The 24,491-nt window shown below is 39.3% G+C and overlaps 1 long non-coding RNA gene and 1 pseudogene across 1 annotated transcript, besides 1 other annotated feature; one reads left to right on the top strand and one right to left on the bottom strand.

The window, feature by feature from the left end:
* The first annotated feature begins 1,481 nt into the window (after nucleotides 1–1,481).
* On the top strand, nucleotides 1,482–24,491 carry LOC105373897 (uncharacterized). The gene is made up of 3 exons (XR_923939.2): nucleotides 1,482–1,621; nucleotides 23,892–23,937; nucleotides 24,415–24,491. It is a non-coding gene; the product is annotated as an uncharacterized LOC105373897 (long non-coding RNA).
* Nucleotides 11,554–12,057: an enhancer, noted in NCBI's record as "H3K27ac-H3K4me1 hESC enhancer chr2:222464565-222465068 (GRCh37/hg19 assembly coordinates)". NCBI's record gives its function as "activates a minimal SCP1, AML or CMV promoter by ChIP-STARR-seq in primed H9 embryonic stem cells {active_cell/tissue: H9 hESC(primed)}" and the evidence as "EXISTENCE:reporter gene assay evidence [ECO:0000049][PMID:30033119]".
* RPL23P5 (ribosomal protein L23 pseudogene 5) lies at nucleotides 18,971–19,469 on the bottom strand (annotated as a pseudogene).

The following is a 24,491-nucleotide window of genomic DNA, read 5'->3' as shown; positions in this document are numbered from 1 at the left end:
ATACAGAGAGATGCAGATTCGAAGAAAGGTGTGTGCACAGAAGGAACTCAAAGACTTTTATATCTCTGTGATTTCACGGTCTTTTTTTGTAACATCCAGTATGCACCAAATATTCACAGGGAAACTTATCATCCAATTTTGTAACTTTTTATTTTTATACCAAATGAAAGTATGTACTTTTCCAGATTTAAACATAAGATGTAGAATTTCCAGAAACAGCTTCTTATCTCATAATTTCTAAATAAATTGCAACGTAATTCAACTAATTCACCTGTTATTTATGATTCAGGTATTTATTTTTCAATTGGAGAAAAAAATAGCCATATTACCATGGTTCCTGGTGAAAAACAAAACAAAACACAAAAGTATAAACAATTAAGAGATTCTGTGAGTGTACTATGGCCAGGGTGGGACTAAAACATCCACTCCGGTATAGCTGGGGTCGCAGCCCCTGCCGCATGGCTACAGAAACTCAACAGTTTTCCCTGCTACAATAGCAGCTCCTTTTCCTCCAGCTGCTACAGACCTCACAATTCTCTTTCCTTCTTTCTTTCCCGGTTCTTATATTCCCTCCACTGACCAAATACCCTCCTTATCAATTTGTCAGTGATGGCTGGAGAGGTGAGTCCAAATGACAAAGGCCAGGGAGGGCCACAGCCTGTCCTGTTTCCATGAGCCCGTCCCTCCATCCCAGCCCTCTCTCCCCAGTACTGCAGCTTCTCCTCATCCCATTGCCTGCTCTCTTGCTGTTTCCCTGCGCTGGTCCCAGTGCCTCAACGTGCCCTCATAGGACACTCCTCACTCCAGAGTTCCTATCCTGGTTTCTATACTCACAGCATAAAAAGCCCTAATTCCAAGCCCAGGATCTTCTTTGTCTAGCCGTAGGAAACCCCACCAGCAGCTTCAAGCTGACAACCAACACGGAGCCGGCTGACTGGCATCTCAAAAAAAGAAAGAAAAAAAAAAAACCTCTGCTCTCACTCACGGGCCTGCAGCAACGGGCGTGCATCTTCCTGGTATTGACCTTGGCATTGGCGGTGTACTTCCCCACAAGAACGTGTTGTGCTTGGAGAGTGGAACATGCAGTACCATACATAGAAACACCCTTCATGAATAGGTGGGAGTGGGGGAAGGGAGAATAATCCCTTACAGTCACACCTCAACTTCACAAGGAAAGGAAAAACCTTCACAACTGTGGGAAACCCTCAAAATTGTCAAGAATAAATGTCCCAGGTGAAAACTGCTATGCTGAAATTTCTCACCAAACTTCCTTTTTCTTCATTCAAGGCTCATTCGTGTAGAAACTTACACCAGTACAGTCAACTAATCTGCCTTCTACGTCTGAATTATGTCCTCCTCCCTTGCCCTAAATTCATATGCTGAAATCCTAATCCCCAGTACCTCATAATGTGACTGTATTTGGAGATAGGGTCATTAAAGTGGTAATTAAGTTAAAAGGAGGTCACTAGAGTGAGTCATAATCCAATATGTCTTGTGTTCTTATATGACACAGGCACACAAAGAGGGAAGACCATGTGAAGTTTACAGGGGGAAAGCAACCACTTAGAAATCAGGGAGAGAGACCTCTGAAGAAACCAACCTTCCTGACACCTCCAGAATTGTGAGAATATAAATTTCTGTGGTCTAGGCCACATAGTATGTGATATTTGTTACAGAAGCTCTAAAAAAATAACACAATATCCCTAAACCTTGTCACTGGTGTATAAATAAGATGACCCTCATTGGCAATTTAACTATGCCTGCCTTTGTTTTCATGTGAAAATCTTTTGCAACCTCTTAATTCATTAGAGAAAAAGAAACTTTTGAAATGCCACCCCTGTTGGAGATTGCTATGTAGAAGGGGTTTCAAATATTTTTCAGACACCAGTTTTGTAATCTAACAGAAATACATGGGAGGTACCTACTTGAGAAATCTTTCTAATCTCTAAATTCAGAGTTTAGTCAGGCGTGGCTGTGCACACCTGTAATCCCAGCTACTTGGAAGACTGAGGTGGGAGGGTTGCTTAAGCCCAGGAGTTTGAGGCTACAGTCGCTGCACACCAGCCTGGGTGACAGAGTGAGACCCTCATCTCAAAACAAATAAATAAATAAGTGGTGGGGGGAAATAAATTCAGGGTGTAGAAATCTGACAATTGGGGTGTGGAGTGTAATCCATCGGCAATTTTTTCTTCCCTTCTTCCACTGTAACAGAAGACTTAGCTAAGTAAAATGGGCACCAAATTAACAGCATATTTCCCAGCCTCCCTCTTCAACCTAGTCCTTGCTCCCCTTGCTGTTTCCCTGAACCTCACTAATAGAGGCTCAGCAGTAAGACTAGGATTTAGCTACTGGCAAGTGAGCAGAAGTGTACAACTTTCAAGTCATATCCATGAACAAAAAAAGCATGCCCCTCCCTTCTTTCCTCTTACCCCCGAGTCTGAATGCAGAAATGGTGATGACCTACCTTTAGGACAAGAGTATTGCCTTCAGAATTTCAGATATTGAGAAGGAAGGAGCCTCAGTCCCAGCATAGCTGAGCTTCTAGATATCCAGGCTCCTTAGATTGTTACATGAGAATGACATGAATTTCTTCCTTGTTTAAGTCATTGCATTGTGAGTTTCTTATTATAGCAGACTAGATTGTTTCTTAACTAATACTCGAGTGCTGTGAAATAAAAAAAAATAGATAAGAATCTGGACAGGATAAAAAAGAAAAAGCATGAAACATTTCCTATATATATCATTTATCAATGCACTGATTTATCACTTAAAATCAACGCTTTTTTACAAATAAAGGGAAAGTCAGATGATCAAATAGAAAAATGGGCAAGATACTTAAAAAGGCCCTTCACACACACAAAATATCTACATGAAACTGAAACATAGGAAAAGGTACACAATCTCATTCGTTATCACATGACCACAATACAACCCCAAAACCCCCACGATGGCTAAAATCAAAACCACTGACAACACCAAGTGTTGTCACAAATGTGAAGTGATTGGAGTTTTCCTACACTCTTTGCTGGTGGGAAGGTAAATTATATAATAATGTTTGAAAACTCTTTGGCACTGTCTACTGCCAAGAGCTGATTATATGCAGATCGTCTGCCCTACCAGTTGTGACACCTAAACAAATGTATGCCTATATTTCCTGAAAGGCATACACTAGAATGTTTTAAACAGCATTATTCATACTGACTCTAACTGAGAACATCCAAATGTCCACCAGTAATAGAGTAGGTGAATAGATTGTGCAATGTTCATACAATGGAATACTGTATAGAAACGACACAGCCACACAAAACAATATAGATGAATCTCAAAAGTGGAGTGCTGAGCAACGGAAGCCAGACACAAAAGAGAAGAGAAACTTCCTGAATCATTGTGCCAGGTAGCTCTTCCAGCCTAAGTAACTTCTGGGTTCTAGTAAATCCTGGCCAGTGGCTCCCTTTTGCTGCCTGATCCTTTCATGATAGCAACACACACGTATGCTTCACGAATGAGGACATTCAAGACTCAAAGAAAGATGAATTCTCCTTCCTAATCTATTATAGCCAAATAAAATAGAAGGAAAGGTAGGCCAGGTGCAGTGGCTCACGTCTATAATCCCAGCACTTTGGGAGGCCCAGGCGGGTGGATCATCTGAGCTCGGGAGTTTGAGACCAGCCTTACCAACATGGGGAACATGCTGGTCTCTACTAAAAATACAAAATTAGTCAGGCTTGTTGGCTGGTGCCTGTAATCCCAGCTACTTGGGAGGCCGAGGCAGGAGAATTGCTGGAAACTGGGAGGCTGAGGTTGCAGTGAGCCAAGATCATGCCACTGCACTCCAGCCTGGGCAACAAGAGTGAAACTTGGTCTCAAAAAAAAAAAAAAAAAAAAAAAAGAAGGAAAGACTCAATGACACATTATCATAAGGAAAGAAAACTTTACAATTAGCATATTTATAAGAGGCAAGTTAATGAGTTTTAGCTCAAGTAAGTTTCCAGTGTCTGTGTGTGGCTGGAAGCTGAGACTTAGCAAGAAAAGGCTGCAATGGATTGATAAGAGATGACTTGGGCAGACGAAAGTGTTGGTCATACAAGTAGAGAAGAAAAGTCTTATTTAAAAAGTTATCTGAGTACACAAAGCCAGAAAAAAACATGCTTATGAAAACAAAGCTTTGGAGCCAGATGGCTCTAGGTTCTAATCAGGGCTGTATAATTTACTATCTGTGCAACCTTGGGCAAATTACTTGGCCTCTCTGATCCTCTATCTGCCAAATAGGGAGAATGATTTTTTTCTATCTTGCAGCAATTTTGTGAGGATAAAATGAGGAATAGACATAGTACTCAGTAAATTTCAGCTGTAATCATTTCTATAGTTACTACTAATTTTATTATTCTTCTTATTATTATCATCTGCATAATTTAGCAGGGATATTGCCATTAAGCTACATGATTCATTGTAATTCTATTCAACATGATATATAAAGTACTTGCATGATCAACAGTACTGAATCTTAGGAAGAGATTTAATGTTTAGAAGATTTATTAGCTGAGGCATCGTTGTTCTTATGGCATTTTAAGTAAGTTATATTCTGGTTGTTCTTATTCATTCACATGAAGCGAGTTCTCCTTAGAGGCCTCCTGTCCTACTACGCAAATATAAAACAAAAAAGCCACTTGGCCTTTGTCTATCAGCTCAGAGAGTCATTTGAGCTCCCTTCTGTATGTAATACAAACCAGTTGAAAAAGAAACTAAGGACAATTATTCAGATAATTCAAGGAGCAAAAAAAACAAACAAAAAAACAAAAAAAAGAAATGAAAAACTTTATTGAATTATATTTTGTATGATGAGGCTCACCATGGAACTGTTCAACTACCAATTTCTTATAGTTTTACCACCTTTCTAGGCCTTCTAATTTTGGTTTTCTTGCTATTACAAAATGATATGTAGTGGTTGCCTAAATAGGCTTCTAAAATACAAAAATCTTGTTTATAGACATGGCTTAATACAGAAACACCTGAAATAATGCTCACAGTCTAAGATCATTAGGACAGAGAACCTTCTAGCTTGCTACACACTGGAATTCCCAATTGCATCTTCAAAGAAAGGTCTATGTTAGTGATTGCAGTCTGGATTTATAGACTGTTTTGGATTCTCACATCTCTATAGTCATTTGCATAGTACAAAAAACATGTTACATAAGAAGTCAGTCAAGCTAAATTATAGGCAGTTCTTTTCAATCAGGCCACTGCGGTTCTGTGTTGCTCAGTTCAGCTCCCTGTCTCCAACTGCTCAAATGTTGCCATGGTGACCGATTTTTGTCATGTACATTCCTAGGTCCCATGCAGCCCCCTCCTTCAGAGCACTTTGCCATCACGACAGCGACCGCTAGCTGTTATTATTTAATCTCCCCTTAGTAATACAGGTCACCTTTAAGGTGAATTCTTGAAACCCGAGTATAAATGATATGTTAGACAAATAAAAAAAAGTATACTAAATAAAATGATAATAGGAATGACCAAAAATTAGACTACTTAGCCTTCCATAAGCAGGAGCTCTATGAACTTACTCCCTTACTATTTTATAACTATATCACTATCCAGTTCATTGGAAGACAGATTTGATTCTTTTAAGACAAATGTAATAATGCGATTTAAAAACCATTGCGCTGAATTTGATCCACCATGCTGTAATCCATCTGATTGTTGAATTTTCCACTGTTATGACAGCTAAAAACAAACTCTCAGTATACTGGAAGAAGGAACTGAGGAATATAAAGACAGTCTAATTTATCCATATGCCTAAAAAGACAATGTCATATGGATAAACTAAATGTCACCTTTTTTTCCTTTTTAAATATTGTAGGCTGAACGTCTTTCAAATAAAAACACAACCTTAAGAAAATCACAAGAAACCAGATCAAAGACATAAATAGAACAAAATATGCACAAGAGATCTCATCCAAGATCAAAGATGTGAATGTAATTGCCATGAATAAGAAGTGCAGAGCTCACCAGAACAGAATGTCTTCGGTGCACAGAGAATTATACCCAAAAAAGAAAAAGAATAAAAGGAGGGGAAAAAAAGTATCTGGGAAATCAAACCCTCCACAGAGCAAGTAAAATGTCTTTATTTTCCCCTTAGCAGTAAGCAAAATTTCTATGCCGTCCCACTGAAATTACCAAATATGGGGCAATGCTTACCACATCCAAAAGAGAGAAGCATATCAGAATGCTGCCATTTTGTGGGCTAAGTACCTTTTTATGTTTTTTTCCTGCCAAAAAACCATCCCCAAATTTTTAATTTTTCAAAATCTTCCTCTATAAATCAACCTGGTACAGAGACAGTTTTCAAGAATGTGAAATGTTGAGGCAGCATTTGAGAGAGCAGCTTTGCTTGTTAAAATGAAGTAATTAATGCTTAAGGGAGAAATAAAAAAAAAAGTAGAGGGAGTTTCTTTTATTAAATATTTATCACTGGAGCCTTGGGTGGATGCCACTCAGAGAAGCAGTCGTTAGAGATGGGACATTGATTGAAGTGAATGTTAAGTAGTGCTTTACACTAAATAACGATTGCTGATTTCTTGGGAAAAAAAGTTCTTGAGATTCTTAGACCCTGTTCTTTCATAGTGCCTTACTGCATGTACTTAATTTTAAGTAATTCAGGCTTTTTAAAATGTACCTCTGCCTCTGACCTTATAGAACTTTCATCACATTCAAGTCAATGAACCTAACTCTCTTCTACCCACTCAACAGTAGCAGGATGCAGGAAGGAGGAGAGGGAGAGTGAGCAGGAAACAGAAACAGAGAGACAACTTGTGAGAACAGGTGCTGATCAGAAATGCAAGCTCATTTCTGCAGAAAGAGGAGGAATAGTAAATTAATACTCTATGATTTCACGTAGCCATCTAGGGGAAGACAAACTTATAACTCAGGTAAAGTTTGATCAGATGTCAACTCTGAAAGTAAATTTTCTGAATTTTGTTTTTGAAGCAAAAAACATTTGGGGAACCTAAACAATGCACTTCCTCGTGGTGTTTAGCCTTAAATATCTACATTAACATACACATACATTTTTACCCTTAGAATACAGGTATTACCATTGCAAATGGGTTTTTTAAAAAAAATACAAATTTGGGGCAATCTATCTCTATGAGGGTAATGTCTCCAACAAATGCACTTACATTCATCTTGAGACTATTTCTTATATTGTAGTATTATTATGGAAAGTGGTATTTTTATATCATTTTAGGTCCTGAGTCTTATCTGACTTTTATCTTGACCCAAGATCTTTACATGTTTAATGAGCTAATTTCCTAGACTCACTTCACCTGAAAGCAAAATTCAGCCTTCACTTGCATGAAACAAAGCACTATTCAAGGACACAGGATTCCTTACCACAGCAATTTCCATTGCAGTGTGAAAGCAAAAGAAAACTATTGCTACATCTTACATATTGCAAGAGACAATATAAGGTGGAAGGAGAATAGAAAATGTTATAAATAAACCCAGGATGTTGTAAGCAAGCCCTGAGTGACACTGGGGCTTGTGCCTCCTTAGCCCTAAGCATTTTGAGACAAACACATTTGTCCAGAGGAAGGAAGCCACCTCCCACTGGCAATATCCTTGTAATATTGATTGGAAAAATAAGCGTGGACTACGGATGAAGTGATTGCACCTCCTTCAGCTTCTAGAGTTTCTAAGGGAAACACTCTTTTCTCTAATCCATCTGTTCATGTTAACATTACAATGAGCAGCCTGCTTTGTATTTTCTGGAAGTTTAGAAATGTCAGTATAAGAAAAAAAAAAAGGACACTTTTCCATAGCCAAAAAAAGACAGTGTTTTACTAACATTGATCAGTAACACCTTTGGACCATTTCCTTGACAAACCAGTAAAATAGGTCTGGTAAAATGGAATTGCGTGCCTGTAAGTGATGCTAACACTGGGGTTCTGTTTCTCAACCCGAGGTGAACCTCCCCTCCACGCCCCACCACAGGACTTGTGACAGTGTCTGAAGACATTTTTGATAGACACAACTGGGTAGGGAGCGCTGCTGGCACCTACTAAGTAGAAATGAGAGACGCTGCTCAACATCCTGCAACACAGAGGACAGAGCCGCTACCTCCAAGAAAGAATTATTGTACCCAAAATGTCAGCGGTGTTGAAGTTGAGAATCCCTTCCATTTTCCCACCACTCACTCTTTCATTTCATGGAAGCAGTTTTTTACAAAGATATGAAGTTTTTGTTTACTTGGTCAGGCGCAGTGGTTCATGTCTGTAATCCTAGCACTTTGTGAGGCTGAAGCAGGAGGACTACTTGAGCCCAGTTCGAGACCAGCCTAGGCAACATGGTGAAACCCCATCTCTACAAAAAATACAAAAATGAGCCAGGCGTGGTGGTGTGTGCCTGTAGTTGCAGTTACTTGGGGGGCTGAGGTGGGAGAATTGCTTGAGCCTGGGAGGTCGAGACTGCACTGGGCCATGATTGTGCCACTGCACTCCAGCCTGAGAGACAGAGAGAGACCCTGTCTAAAAAGAACAAAAAACAGAAAACAATTTGAGTTTTCACAACTTTGCTTAGGTGTCTACTACATATTCATAATCCATTCATAGCAATGATGCTTATGATGCCTCTAATTCATGTGTTAAAAAAATTCAAAGTTTTATAAATATTCAGCTTGATTTTTGGACTCATAATTTAGTGACTGGACCTAAGCCCAAACCTTTTGTTGTGATGAGGTAGTTCTCCACACCGCTTTTCTTCTGCATTCCTATCATGAATTGGGATCTGGTGCCCAGAAAGGGCTTGGCAGCTCTGCAGCCCAGACTCCCACATTTTCCTTTGTGTGAGGACTTTTTGAAAGCCATCCTTACTAGAGATAGCATTTTTACTTTGGTAATTATTTGATTTTCACAGATTATGGCTTTTACAAAAAAAAAAAAGAAGAAGTAATTTCAACCACCTTTGTAGCCTATTTTCTGCTATAACACAAAGGCGGACTGGCGATTTTCTCAGAAAGCTCAAATATCTTTTTTGAACAAGACACTCGCTATGGTAGAAATTTCCAAAAAAGAATGTCCTCTTTTGGAGTCTTTTTGACTCATAGAGTTCTGCTAGTTGAGGTCAGAATGCTGCATGATTAGGAACTGACAGAGAAGGAGGCTGTTGAGTTTTGCCTGTGTGGTTTCATAGGGCATCCCATTAGAAGGCAATATCCTCTTTCAGATGTTTATAGTCCAATGAAAGAAATGCACCAGACAGTATCATGGCCACAGAGTCCATCCTTGGTCCACACACTTTGACAAAATTTATTGTGCAGTAAGTCATGAATAATTTAGTAACATGCAATGTACTAATTGTAAGTTATTTACTTCTAAGAATTCTAATTAAGACAAGTTAAGCACTACTTTTACTTGAAAATTTCTCTTATCTATTGTCAAACTACTCTGGAACTTTAGGCTACGTTTCTTTAATAATATTCTATAATCCAAAGTTGTCATGCAGTCATTCAAAATATGTATTGAGTGTACACTGCCTAATATATATATATTTTTTTCCTCTGCTTACTTCTGGATGTGGCAGTATGATCTATAAAGCAAAAATTCTTGGAAGCCTTTTATTTTTTCTTAAGTCAGTGTTTTCCAAAATATCCTGAGCATAAAGAATTATCTGGATGGCTTATTAAAAGAAAAGGCTCTGTAGCCCAAGACCTCTGTGGGAGGGTCTTAGGAATCCGTATTTTTTTTTTTTTTATTTTACTTAAAGTTCTGGGATACATGTGCTGAACGTGCAGGTTTGTTACATAGGTATACATGTGCCATGGTGGTTTGCTGCATGGGACCCAGAGATTCATGTGGCTTGCTAGGTTGAGAATGCCCAGAAAGAATGCATGTATATAGAAGACTTGAACAGACACTATTATAAACAATTAATGGATTGGGTATCTGTTCTTTGAAAAGTTGTTGGATACATATAGAGCACTTAGAAAAGTGTCTGGCACATAGTAAGCTCTTAATAAGTGTTGGATATTATTGTTTTCCCTTGTCATGCCTCAGTGTAGATTAGGGTTGTCATTTCCCTAAGTCAACCTTCAAAAACCATTAGCTCTTCTCAGTCAATGGCCCAGAGGCCTGTGTTTATTGGGTCCATAACTCCTTTTCTCCTTTTCCTCAGGTGCTTTTCCTAATTCCTTTCTGTTTTTCACTAACTCCCCTATTTTTAGTTGCTTTCTTATCTCTCTGTTAACTGAGTGTTCCTCCTGATACTGAGTTTTCCAAGAGTCTTTTCATTCTTCTAATTCCAAGAGTCTTTTAATTCTTTACCTGCACACAAGGAGTCCTTCCTGGGAATTCCAACATTCCGTTGATAATCATCAAGGTATGCGCCTTGATCCTACCTTCTAAGCCCAATTTTTCTGTAACCTGGAGTGTGAGGTTGACTATTTACAATTAATCCGAGACTTCTAAGGATTTGTCTGGCTTTTACCCTCTATAACTAGTGTTGCTTCAATCCATAAATGTTTAAACATTAGCTTGGAGTGTTTCATTTGAGTAGTTTAAAGCACCTACATGCTGCAAATATCATGGAGCATATGTTGAACTGGGAGTACCTGAATGGCATATTGCATTTTCTATAATTCAGAAGAAAATCCCTGTGCCCATTCACTGGCTTATCTATAACTGCAGCTTATGTTCTCTTTGAGCATAATGTTTGGAACAATCATTAGAAAGGAGCAGGAAAGGCTGTGTATAACCAATCTGCTCTTTTCCACATTACTCATCATTGCAGCTCTTCCGAAGAAAAAAACATTTACTTCATAAATCAGACATGTAAAATCTATGTCATTAAGCTAATGGGAGAAAATAAAGGAGAAGCTATAGCTTTGGCTATCAATTCATGTATATTTAACCTCTACACCTAATAGGAATTCTTATATTGTCAGGCTGCATTTTGCAACTGAAACATCACTTCACATTTTGTTAGGAATTCTTGTATGTATGCAAATGGCTTTATTCACAAAAAGAATATTTTTTCTTCGTAAAAATAATTTAATTCTGAAGCAGGTAAAAGAAAACAATTGCCTTTATCTTATTTACTGATTCTATCTTTTCAGATCTTAATGAAATATATTGGGGACACCTCAGGAAATTCCTAAATGTCCAGAGTAGCTACCATTACTGTGTTAAAAGAGGTTAAACTGCCCAAAGCCATAATTTCAAGTCTTAATTGAATGCTAGCAATTCAACCATGAGCAGGATCCCAGAAGAATGGAGAGGTTCTCTGTGAGCTTCACACAATGGGAATGCGTGGGCAGATGCCATCTGCAGCTCAGGGGTGGGGAAACAAAAAGACATTTGAGGAAGAGGGAATTTCTTACAGATATGATATAATGGGAAAGATCTGAAAGTCATCCATCATGTCTGTGACAATCATCACACCCAACAACAGCCAGAAGCCACGACATGTCACGTACCACCTGCGGCGTGTCAGGCCTTCTGCATCAGCACTTCTGTGCATCCTGCCACCTCCCCTTTGTTGCCCACTCCGCTGCACTGCATGGGGGGCTCGAGAATGCCCCCGCCTGACCCTGCCCCCAACATTTGCTAATGCAGGCTTTATTATCACACACCCCAACAGGCACTTAGTACACATTCATCTGGTGACACGGATTGACAATCGGCGCTGAACCAGGATGCCAGTGCCACCAGATGTTGCTGCATCTCATAAATTGAGTTAGCACAACTACACTGGTCCGAGAGGGTCAGAACAATGCAGCCCGGCAAAGGCGATGGTTACTTGGACGCTCTCATGTGGGCAGCTGCTGAGAGACGCAGAGAATGGGCCAAGCCGTCCATCCACTTCCTTTCAGTTTTCCTTAGAAGCCTCCCTTTTAAGTAATTTTCTCAAAAAAATGGGATACAGATTGGGTTAAGAGCAGAGCAAGAACAAAAATACAAGCTATGTTTTTACATCACTATGCATTAACAACCTGTAACTTATACCCAAGTGTTGTTCCTTTGATTTCAGAGAACCCCATGGCACATATACACACACATACACAGGCACTCACCCATTTAATGTGTGATGGTAGGATGTGTTATAGTTAAATTTGGATTCTATTCTCCTGCTTTAACCTCTGCATACTATTTGTCTCTATCTCATCTTCTCAACAAAATGACAATCTCCAAATGCAGGTACCATGGGCAGTGGTTCCCCTTTGGCCCTAATACAATACTAAACACATACTAGTTGCTTAATGACTGATCAGTATATTTTTGTTTAGTCGATTGGTTCTTATTTTTAAAAATATTTTCAAGGCCATGTAAGAAAACTGAAGACAACTTACAGAGTGAGAAAACCAAGGTTTGGAAATTGCTGGCCTGGACCATACTAAAAATGATCAGGCCAAGCAGTTAGATTTTATCACTCGAATTGAGGATATCAGGAGCCTGAAATTCCTATGCAAGTTCAGAATGATTTTTCAAGTTAATATCCTAAAAATTGTGCCAACATTTCATGATCCAGTCTTGTTTATAACCACAGTATAAAGAAACCATTTGCAGGTGCATCTAGGGGTATTGGTTACTAACGCATAGAAATCTATAAAATCTGCAAATAAAAGACACTTCTCCAGAGCAGTAACTTCATTGAGTGTAAAATAATTGGAACTCTTGCTAAATGAATAAATTGTTGTGTTTAGAAACAACCCTAGAAAAATGCCAGCCATATCCTGAAGCTGGCACTTCAAGATGATCAGGGAAAACCCGTCTTACCTAGGTATAGTGTTAATGTCTACACTGATGTCCTTTGAACTTGTCCATATTAATTACTTTTTACATCTTATTATTATTGTTTTTTCTAGCATTTTATGAATCTTAATCATACACATAAAAAGAGTTAAACTATATTTTGGTCAAGTTATTATATCCGTTCCTGAATATATTCTCTTGTTTGAGTTGTATACGTTGCTACAATTTTAACATCATATTGCATTTAAAACAACATTTATTTGGGACATGGATGCAATAAAAATATTTCATATTTACTATGTATACAAATGGTAGAGAGATGTCATGATGGATATAACAGGTTCTTCCTCTTTTTGATGGAAAGTTTACATTTAGTTTGTATATATAAATTGTGGACCAAAGTGTGGGTGGTGAAAGAGAACAAAAACAAAGTCAAGCATATGATTGTTAGTGATTATTAAGAACAAATTTGGAGTTATTTAAGACACAGTAATTATAGTATATCTGAACCTGGTTCTTAAACTGTAAGTCAAACAAAAAATGTAACCTAAGGACAATAAGAATTTATTGAATGTGTGTTTCCAATAAACAAAGTTTACATGTTAGAATTAAACTATGATTTAAATAACTAGATTAAATGCAGGCAAGAAATTATGTTAAAACAAATTAATTTGTGGGGTTTTGTTGTTGTTCTTGTTTGAGACAGAGTCTCGCTCTGTCACCCAGGCAGGAGTGCAGTGGCGTGATCTTGGCTCACTGTAACCTCCACCTCCTGGGGTCAAGCGATTCTCCTACCTCAGCCTCCTGAGTAGCTGGGATTACAGGTGTGTGCCACCATGTCCGGCTAATTGTTGTATTTTCAGTAGAGATGGGGTTTCACCATGCTAGCAAGGCTGCTCTTGAACTCCTGACCTCGTGATCTACCGGCCTCGGCTTCTCAAAGTGCTGGGATTATAGGCATGAGCCACTGCACCTGGCCTTAATTTGTGTTTTGAATATCTGTTCCTTTTTAATAGGGCACTTAGAAACTGACATTCTAATTTTGAAGAGCCAAGTTTTGTTTGAACTCAGGATAAAAATATACATGGCAATGCAATGTATATATTACATATATAAACACCAAGGGTACACCACAGGGCATGTGATGTATATGATATACCACCTCATCCAAGTGGCCTTGTCTGACACCCTATTCCTGTAACAGAAACCACTCATCTTATTTATTACATTATGTGATTTGTTCATTTGTGTTTTCGTCCCTCTCTCACTAAATTTACCTCTAAGAGGACAGAGACTTTGTCGCTCTGGTCCTTACAACATTGTGTTAAGTGCTTTGGACCTTACAGCATTCCTAGCACATAACACAATGCATGGCACTCAAAAGCTACGTATGAATGTTTGAATATATGTGGAATGCACATGCTCTTTTCTGAAAAGATAAAGATCTGTGATCTTATAATGTCAGTAATAATGTAAAATATTTCATTCAAATTAAATGCTTTTCATGAAATATTTTAGTATGCATTTCACAAATAATCTTTTTCAGTGAATCCTTTTCAATAAGTACTTTTCCATAGAGCAACTGAAAAGGGAACATGAAAGGAGGTTTAGATAAACCACAATAAAGCTTTATCATTAAAATTTCTGAAATCCTCAAGGTATTATTCCATGACTCACAAAATAAAGGCCTATAAAATCAATTAAATGAAACCAAGTTCAGCATATTGTATTCAATACTTAGATTTTCTGAATTTTATATGAAGTTCGTTTGCCAACATGGATGTATTATTTATGCCTGTATTAAATTTGCTTATGGTAACAACTACAATAATGAAAGGGGAGATTTTCTTGATTACAGAGAGTAGCATATATACTGTTTTAAAAGTTTCAGTGAATGTGTGTAATTTTAGAATAAAATAATTTTAAAATATTTTAGAATACTTTAGAATAAATTTATACTTTTTTCTAAAATTACACACATTCACTGAAACTTTTCAAACAGTATATAGCCAGGCATGATGGCCCACATCTGTAATTTCAACACTGTGGGAAGTCAAGGTGGGCAGACCACCTGAGGTCGGGAATTTGAGACCAGCCTGACCAACATGGAGAAACCCCATCTCTACTAAAAACAAAAAATTAGCCTGGCGTGGTAGTGCATGCCTGTAATCCCAGCTACTCAGGAGGCTGAGGCAGGAGAACCGCTTGAACCTGGGAGGTGGAGGTTGCAGTGAGCTGAGATAGTGCCATTGCCCTCCAGCCTGGGCAACAAGAGTGAAACTCCATCTCAAAAACAAACCAAAAAAAAAGCAGGATATATGCTACTCTCTGTGATCAAGAGAGTAGCATATAAAACTTTTAGAATAAAAGTTGCAGTGAATATGTGTAATTTTAGAACACAAATTTTAAAAATAAAATTTTATAATAAAATGTAGAATAAATTAACAATCTGAAATTTTTGTACCTGGTAATTATCTCTGATTCTAGTAAACCCTAAATGCATAGACAGATGGACATGTTGATAAAAATGGAAAGTAAATTCAAAAACGAAAGATTTTAGTTGTTGAAAAGTCTTGCCTCTAAGGGACTCAAGATTATACATCAAACAAACTTTTAAAAGTAGATGATTCCATAGACTTTTAGTGTATTAAAATACACTTTTCATACAAATTGTCTAAGATATTCCCCCTCAGCTGCACTTACTTAAGACTATTACAGTCCTCTGGCTTCGACATCCTAACAACTGACTCAGGCAATTGGCAAACAGCCAGTGTTACACAGTCCCACACCCATGAGTGATGCGTTTTAAAAATTGTGCACTATGTAATTCTGGAATTCTCTTTTTGAGAGAAGACCAAAACAGCGTGATATTTTATTTTCCAGATTTTGCCTTTCTTTGGACAAAATTTACTAATTGTTTTGCAAAAAGTAATACATATTTATAGGAGTCAAACATCAAAAAGTACTAAAGGCATATCATGACCCCCTTCTCTTACAAAGTTTTTTGTTTTGTTTTGTTTGTTGAGACGGAGTTTTGCTCTTGTTGCCCAGGCTGGAGTGCAATGGCGTGATCTCAGTTCACCTCAACTTCTGCCTCCCAGGTCCAAGTGATTCTCCTACCTTAGCCTCCCGAGTAGCTGGGATTACAGGCATGCACCACCACGCCCAGCTAATTTTGTATTTTTAGTAGAGACAGAGTTTCACCATGTTGGCCAGGCTAGTCTCGAATTCCCGACCTACGTGATCCAACCGCCTTGGCCTCCCAAAGTGCTGAGATTACAGGCGTGAGCCACCGTGCCCTGCCCAAAGTTTTTTTTTAAGTTGGCTTTCCTGTTTCATGAAGAAGTAAATTGGCATCTTTATTTTCTGTTCCATGTTTTGCTCTTGAGATTTCTAAGAAGAGATGCTTACAGCACTATGTTCATCCCAAAAGTTTGCCTTCTTGTTTGAAGATCAAACCAGGGCCTTTAGCCTGGCGCTGTGGATCATGCCTGTCATCCCAGCACTTTGGGAGGCTGAGGCAGGTAGACTGTTTGAACTCAGGAGTTCAAGACCAGCCTGGCAGCATGGTGAAAACCCATCTCTACAAAAAATACAAAAATTAACCAGGCATGGTGGCATGTGCCTGTAGTCCCAGCTACTAGGGAGGCTGAGGCCGGAAGATCGCTTGAGCCTAGGAGGCAGAGGTTGCAGTGAGCCAAGATGGTGCCACTGCACTCCAGCCTGGGTGACAGAGTGAGACCCTGTCTCAAAAAAACAAAAACAAAAAGACAGGGCCTTTGAACTTTCTTTAAGACCCTGGTTTCTCAGAGATTTCTCCCTGCCTGCTTTTCATAAAACTCCCCGTATCATTCTATATCTTAAAAAGGCAAATTCTTCCTGTTTAATTGACCTTGCCATTTTCTAATTGTCGGTGCCAAACAGCCCCCAAAGAATAATCCAGCCACCCTCTCTTCTTCACCTTCCACTCACTCTTTACATTTTTGAAATCTAGTTCAACACCATCACCCTACCACCACCCACAGAGACCTCAATGTAATTTGTCTTTCCTGGGGACCTGTTCATCATCCTAACCAACAGTTTTGGTTTTGTTGTTGTTGTTTGTTTGTTTTTGTTTTTGTTTTGAGACGGGGTCTCGCTCTGTTGCCCAGGCTGGAGTGCAGTGGCTCAATCTTGACTCACTGCAACCTCTGCTCCCTGGTTCAAGCGATTCTCATGCCTCACACCCCCAGGTAGCTGGGATTACAGGCATGTACCACCAAGCCCAAGTAATTTTCATATTTTTGGTAGAAGCAGAGTTTCACCATTTTGGCCAGGCTATTCTTGAACTCTTGACCTCAAGTGACCTACCTGCCTTGGCTTCCCAAAGTGCTGGGATTACAGGCATGAGCCACTGCGCCTGGCCCTAACCAACAGTGTCTGTCCAAATGACTTCTCTGTCACTCCTGGAGAACTGAAGGTTTCCCTCCTTTGCACGGCTCTCACCTTTGGGATTGATCTCATTGCCAAGCCTTGGCTTCTTCTCACCTCAGGACACTGCCTATGTTTCCTTCATGGGTAGTTTCTCTTCCTTTGAGTTTGTTTATTCCAGAGTTCTACGCTTTTTTTGTTGGTGTTGTTCTAAATCCCCACTTCAGATATCTTATCCACTATTGCTCCTTTGTGAGATAATACAAAACCTTCAAATCTTCCTATTCAGCTCTGGTCTCTGTCTCTGTCTCTCTCTCTCTCTCTCTCTCTAATCTCTGGAATTTCAGTTTTGCCTTTCCCAGGCCTCCTGATGCTCTCACCTGTTTGTCCCACCTAGTGCCTCAAACTCCTCTACTAAACTCACACTCTAATTCCCTAAACCAGTGTTTCTCAATCAAGGGTGATTTTATTGCTTTCCCTCCACAGCCCACCCCCATCCCAGCACACATGTGGCAATGTCTGGAGACACTGTTGCACTGGGAAGGGTGCTACTGGCTTCTAGTGAGTAGAGGCCAAGAGTGTTGCTAAGCACCCTGCAATGCACAGGGAAGTGCCCACAACAAAGAATAATCTGGCCCCAAGAGTCATAGATGTCCACACTGAAATCGTGTCTGAATCCATTTGCCACTGAAACCTCCCCTTATCTTGCCTGGGTGCATTGGCTTACACCTGTAATCCCAGCACTTTGGGAGGCTGAGATAGGTGGATCACTTGAGGTCAGGAGTTCGAGACCAGCCTGGTCAACATAGTGAAACCCCCTCTCTGCTGAAAAATACAAAAAAAAATTAGCCAGATGTGGTGGCACCCACATGGAATCCCAGCTACTCAGGAGGCTGAGACAGGAGAATCACTTGAACCCAAGGCAGAGGTTGCAGTGAGCTGAGATCGTGCCACTACACCACTCCAGCTTGGGTGACAGAGCAAGACTGCATCTCAGGAAAAAAAAAAGGAAAATGAAAGAAAGAAATAAACTTTGGCAGAAAGTCTGAGATTTAATCCTAATTCCTCAATTATCTCACTTTAGCCAATATCCAGAGTTTCATTTGGGTTTTTGCCTTGAAAGTTTCTGTTTGTTAATTATTTTCATCCATACTACTACCATTATTACATTCATGCGCTTGGGTAAAAAATGTAGTTTAACTGATCCCAATAACTCATCTCTTTTCCCTGCTATATTTGCACTCTACTGTTAAATTACATTTCCTCAAATACTGTTTTCCTCACATCAAAAACTTTCAGTGGCATCCTTCTGGAGCCTTTCTTATTCAGTATTCCTTGACAATTGGGCACTTATCAACACCTTCCTCTTATGTCCTAAGTGAACCTTCCATTCCAGGCAAACTGGCCTACTTGTTCCATTTTTTATTCTAAATGTAATAGTCATAATAAATAATTTTACAATACTGTATTAGTAGTTCTACTAGATAGCAAAATAGTTGATTAGTGAAACGTTAACAAAGATTGGTTTATCTTTTTGAAGGATCTATCCTTGATATCTTATGATACACATCTGTGGATTCTGGAGCTAAGCTAACTGGATTCAGTTCTTGGATCTGCCACTTAGGAACCTGGGCAAGTTGCCTTGTTTCCCTATCTGTAAAATGGGCTGACAATAATGCTTATCTCACAGGGTTGCTGTGCAACTTACAATAGTCCCTGGAATATAGTAAGCACTAGGTAATTAGGCGATTATCATTTCCTTTATGAATGCATATTTAAAGGCCATATTTTTGGGGGGTTTTTTGTTTTGTTTTGGGAACAAATACTTTTTAATTGGCTTAAAGTTTTTTATTTTTATTTTTAACAAAAAAATAATCCTGGAGAATCATGCAATGCTTCTAGCATTGGACACAATCTGGGATCACAAGTCTACACGCTTCTTTGCTACTGGTCCTGTAATGGCAGAACCTTTCATCTCACCTTTATTGTTTGCTATGACCCCTGCATTATCTTCAAAATAAGGAAACATGCCACCTTTTCTCCAGTATGACTTCTGTTGTGAAATGACCACTGCTGAAGGTACCCTTTTTCTGAGCTCTGGTTTGCCTTTCTTGACTGTGGTCATCACCATGTCACCCACATCAGCAGCGGGAAGTCTGTTCAGCCGTCCCTTGATCCCCTTCGTGGAGATGATATACAGGCTTTTGGCTCCGGTGTTGTCAGCACAGTTGACCGCAGCTCCTACCGGGAAACTCAAGGACATTCGGAATTTTGCACCAGAGGTCCCACCACGTCCTCGCGTCGCGTCAACATCTTTTTTTTTTTTTTTTTTTTTTTTGAGGCAGAGTTTCACTCTTGTTGCCCAGGCTAGAATGTAATGGCGTGATCTCGGCTCAATGCAACCTCCGCCTCCCCTGTTCAAACAATTCTCCTGCCTCAACCTCCTGAGTAGCTGGGATTATAGGCACCTGCCACCATGACCAACTATTTTTGTGTGTGTGTGCATTTTTAGTAGAGACGGGGTTTCACCACGTAGGCCAGGCTGGTCCTGAACTCCTGACCTTAGGTGGTCCACCCGCCTCAGCCTCCCAAAGTGCTGGGATTACAGGCTTAAGCCATTGCGCCTGGCCCACTTCAACACCTTGAACGATGGAAAGTAAAGGCCATATATTGATGTGTAGTGTAAATAATGTTATCATGTCTATTGGTATGCTAGCCAAAGTGATGTACCCCCAATGCATGTCTAATAGTTTGATCTGAATATTTTCTGAGCATATCATTAACCATTCTTTCTTTACGTAAGCATTATATATATACACACACACACACACACACACACACACACACATATATATTTAATGAGAGACCTAGCATGATTCTGGAAACCTAAAAATTCCTATAAGATGCAAAACTTCAGTATACACACTATTCCCACATCAGTAAAGGTCTCCATGTGGCCAGGGTTATCAAGTTTCTGAAGTTCAGTATTCAACTTATTCTTCATTAATTACAACGTGGCTCTGATCAACTTGGGGAAAACTACAAAAAGCAATTAAGAAAAAATCAGAACCAAGAATTAAAGACAAGCTTTCTTTCTACTTTTTATCTTTTTCCAGAGTTTCGATGTTTTCACTGTAGCTCCGCATGGATGGGTTGGAAGGTAGAGCAAACCATAAGTAATTTCTTTTGAAATGGGAGGACCAAGGAGGGGAGGAAGATGACATTTCTCCCAAAATCTGTGCCTTTCCTATAGAGTTACTGTTGTTTCTCTGTTCTTTCCCCTTTTCCGCCTGGGTGGTCTCTCTCCCATGAGTAATGGTAACAGCAAGAAAAACCACGGAAGTAACAATGTGAATATGTAACCACATGACTTTATTGCCTGTTATATAGGTTCCAGATAACCGTTTTATTTTGTAACTCAAATTCTTTCCTTTCCCAGTCTCCCCTGTGCAGTATCAAACTCTCCCCAACTCCTCTCTCAACCACCACCCTCTTAAGCTGAGCTAGTAGAACAAGTGAGGATCTGCCTGTAATTACTGCTTAATTCATTTGCATGTGGATGTTCTCATTATAATGTCATTAGCATGGGGAGGGAGTCTGGTTGCCAGAGCAACCAGGAGTGGGGCAGGTGCAGTTCAGCCTCAATTGGATTCTCTGCTCAGTTTGGTCAAACTCCACCTGTATTCCTGGCTCTTATCACTCTTGCGGCTGCCAAAATGAAAACATTCCGCAGTTACCCTCTTTATTTTGGCCGTGTCTCCAGAATTTCTTGGTAACCTGTACAGTTCACCTTGATTTTGCTAATAATCCCTTTTATTTTAACTAGCCATGCTCAGAGACTTTTTTCCCTCATCTTTGCTGTCCAATATGGTAGCCACTTACCATATGTGGTTACTGAGCACTCAAAATAAGATTAGTGTGAATTCAGATGTCCTGTAAGTGTAATATAAACAAAGGTCCTCAAATACTTAATATAAAAAATGTAAAATATCTCCTTGATAACTTCATTAATCTTAAGTCTATGTTAAAATGGGAATATTTTGGATATATGGGGTAAAATAAAATATATTATTAAAGTTAATTTCTCCTGGTTCTTTTTACTTTTTAAATATGGGTGCTAAAATGTTTAAGCTTACAAATGTGGCTTACGTATATGTTACACATTATATTCTTACAGACAGCACTGTCCTAGATCATTAATTCCTCTTGCCAATCTCTCCTATGATCAGTACTCCCATCTTAATCCACATAGACATTTTCAATAGCTGTCATCCTCTGCAGAGCCTCCACAGCTCATTCTTTCCAGATTGCCTTGCAATTTGCTTATTTCAGCCATCATTTCATAAAGACTCTTAGAGGTTACGAAATTCAATTTTCCTATCAACACAGGAATTCCCTCGTACAACGGTGCTAATAGATGGTTAACCGGAGCTGGGGGCCACTACTTAACAGAACAGCAGATACAGAAAAACTCAAATTCTAAGACAGTTTTTCCTTATATTGACAAGAAATCTGCTGTTTTTATAAAGTTACCTGCTGGCTGGGTGTAGTGGCGCATGCCTGTAGTCTCAGCTACTCTGGAAGCAAGAGTATCACTTGAGCCCAGGAGTTCAAGACCACCTTGGACCAGAGAGTGAGACCCTGTCTCAAAAAATGAATAAATAAACAAAATTTTTTTAAAAGCTATCTGCTGCTTTTAGTTCTGCCCTTGGAACAAAATTGAGTGAGGGTGCTCCTCTTCCAGATGACAACTCTCCCTTCACTGGGGGACTGCCGTCATGGTCTGCCAAGCTTTGCTTCTCTCTGTTAAATATTACCCACTCCCCTCAACAGTTTCTCATAAGACATGGCCTCGAGGCTCAACCATTCTTGTGGCCCTCCCCCAGATTTTTGTCATTTGTCAATGTCTCTGTAAAAATGTGGACTCCGGAAGTGGAGCCCCAGCTACAGTTGTGGAGCTACCGTGGACCATCCCCTCTCTCCATCTGGACACTAGGGTTTGGTTTAGTGAACCTAAAACTGCATTTGATTTATCATCTTCTCTATCCTGTTGTTGAAACATGTTGAGCTTTTCATCCACTAAACTTAACAGATCTTTTCTCACATCAACTGATATAAAGTCACAGCTTCTTTATCATCGACTTATATAATTGACCTTCTAAAAATATAAACCCAGGACTTTATGTTTATCTTAGTAAAATTTCACTTTGGGGCTTTATTCTACTCTTCCAGTGCATGAAGAGAATTTGAAGTCTGGTTCTTGCTCAGTGAATTAGCTATTCTTCTCAGTTGTGTACCAAAGATATGATAAACATGCTTTTGATGTCCTCTTAGTCACTGATAAGTGTGTTGAACTAGACAGAACCATCTTGCCCATTAAGATATGAGAGATTTTGTCAACTCTTTCTAAAATCAAGATAGATGATGATGTTATCTGATCAACTTATTCCACCAGAAAATAATAGCAGTTAACAACTCTTTATTGGCCTACTATGGGGGCCAATTTTTTGTTTTTTTGTACCAAGGTACGAGTTGAATTTAGTGTGACAATTCTGATGCCTGGACGGGCGCCGTGGCTCACGCCTGTAATTCTGGCACTTTGGGAGGCCAAGGTGGGCAGATAACTTGAAGTCAGGAGTTTGAGACCAGCCTGGCCAACATTGTGAAAACCCATCTCTACTAAAAATACAAAAATTAGCCTGGCGTGGTAGTGCATGCTTGTAATCCCAGCTGCTCCGGAGGCTGAGGCAGGAGAATCACTTGAACCGGGGAGGTGGAGGTTGCAGTGAGCTGAGATCGTGCCACTGCATTCCAGCCTGGGCGACAGAGTGAGACTCCATCTCAAAATTTAAAAAAAAAAAAAATTCTGATGTCTAATAATTACCTTTTCCTTCTCTACATGTTGCCAAGCTGTCTGTTTAATAATCTGTTAGGATTGTCAGGACATTTTCCCAGAGATAATCATTAATCTTACTAGTTTGTAGTTTCTATAGCCTAGCCTTTTCAGTCTTCAAATACCAAGATGCCGTTTGTCACTGGCCAGTTTTTTCATATCTTTTTCATTCTCAATGTGTTTTAAAGACGATCAATCATGATTCCACAATTGCACATGTAAGTTGCCTTATTTTCTCGAGAGAGAGTTGGATTGTACTCAGAGATTTATAATCATTTAAGATTTCTCTTTATTTTCATTTTTTTCCTTTCATCCTGGAGAAATTTTTTCTGCTTTAGTCAACACCATAGCCTGGCATCTAACACACTACCCGATTATTGACTGCTTAAGTTTTCGATCTTTTTTCCTTCCTGTTTCCTTTTTTTTTTTTTTTGAGACAGAGTTTCGCTCTATTGCCCAGGCTGGAGTGCAGTAGCACGATCTCAGCTCACTGCAACCTCCACCTCCCAGGTTCAAGTGATTATCTTGCCTCAGCCTCCTGAGTAGCTGGGATTACAGGCACCCATCACCACGCCCGGCTAATTTTTGTATTTTTAGTATAGACGGGGTTTCACCATGTTGGCCAGGCTGGCCTCAATCTCCCGAACTTGTGATCTGTCCGCCTCAGCCTCCCAAAGTGCTGGGATTACAGGCATGAGCCACTGCGCCCGGCCTCCTTCCTGTTTCTTATCAGTTAGAAAGTCCATCTCTTCATCTCAGTGAAAAAGAAGAAAAATTAAGTTATATAGGTCTTCTGCCTTCTCTCATTTAATATTAACATTAAAGCATCTTTCTCATCTTTCTAGCCATAATCAACAAATCTGTTCCTCCTCCATTTTCTGAAGACAAAAGGTAAATCTAGTTTTATATACATAATTTTCATCAAGGTGATGAAAATAGATTCCAGGAGGCACTTTCAGTTTCTTACAGTGAGTTTACTGATATTAATAGATCATTTGGAGCCTTTGTATAACTGTTTCTCCCCTCTAGTCTGTATTTCCAACTTAAAAAAAATAAAAATGTAGTCGTATTAAATAAAAATTTTAGCAAATTGTTATCAGATTTGCGATAGAAACATCCCATTAAACTTTCAATTTAGGACTGATGGCATTTTTGTAGCTTCTGCAGAAGTATATACTATTTTGATATTAACACATTTTATAAAATGGACTAATTATCGTGGAAAACATTATTCATTTAATTATTTGCTCAGGGTTTGCTCTGCTACCTATATTTCATATATGTATATGCCACAGTAGTTGGCAATAACTGAGTGGTCAGAATGGTCGAGTGTCATACATTGAAATGTTTTCTATGGCACTGCTACAGGGTTCCAGAGGAAAAGTCCTAAGTATGTGCTTTTGAAGAAGAGGATGATAAATTGTGACTACCTATGTTGCCATAAG

Source organism: Homo sapiens, chromosome 2 (genome assembly GCF_000001405.40).
Source record: "Homo sapiens chromosome 2, GRCh38.p14 Primary Assembly".
Lineage (NCBI taxonomy): Eukaryota > Metazoa > Chordata > Mammalia > Primates > Hominidae > Homo > Homo sapiens.
The sequence above is the reverse complement of the archived record's forward strand: the minus strand, read 5'-3'. Positions and strand labels throughout refer to the sequence as shown.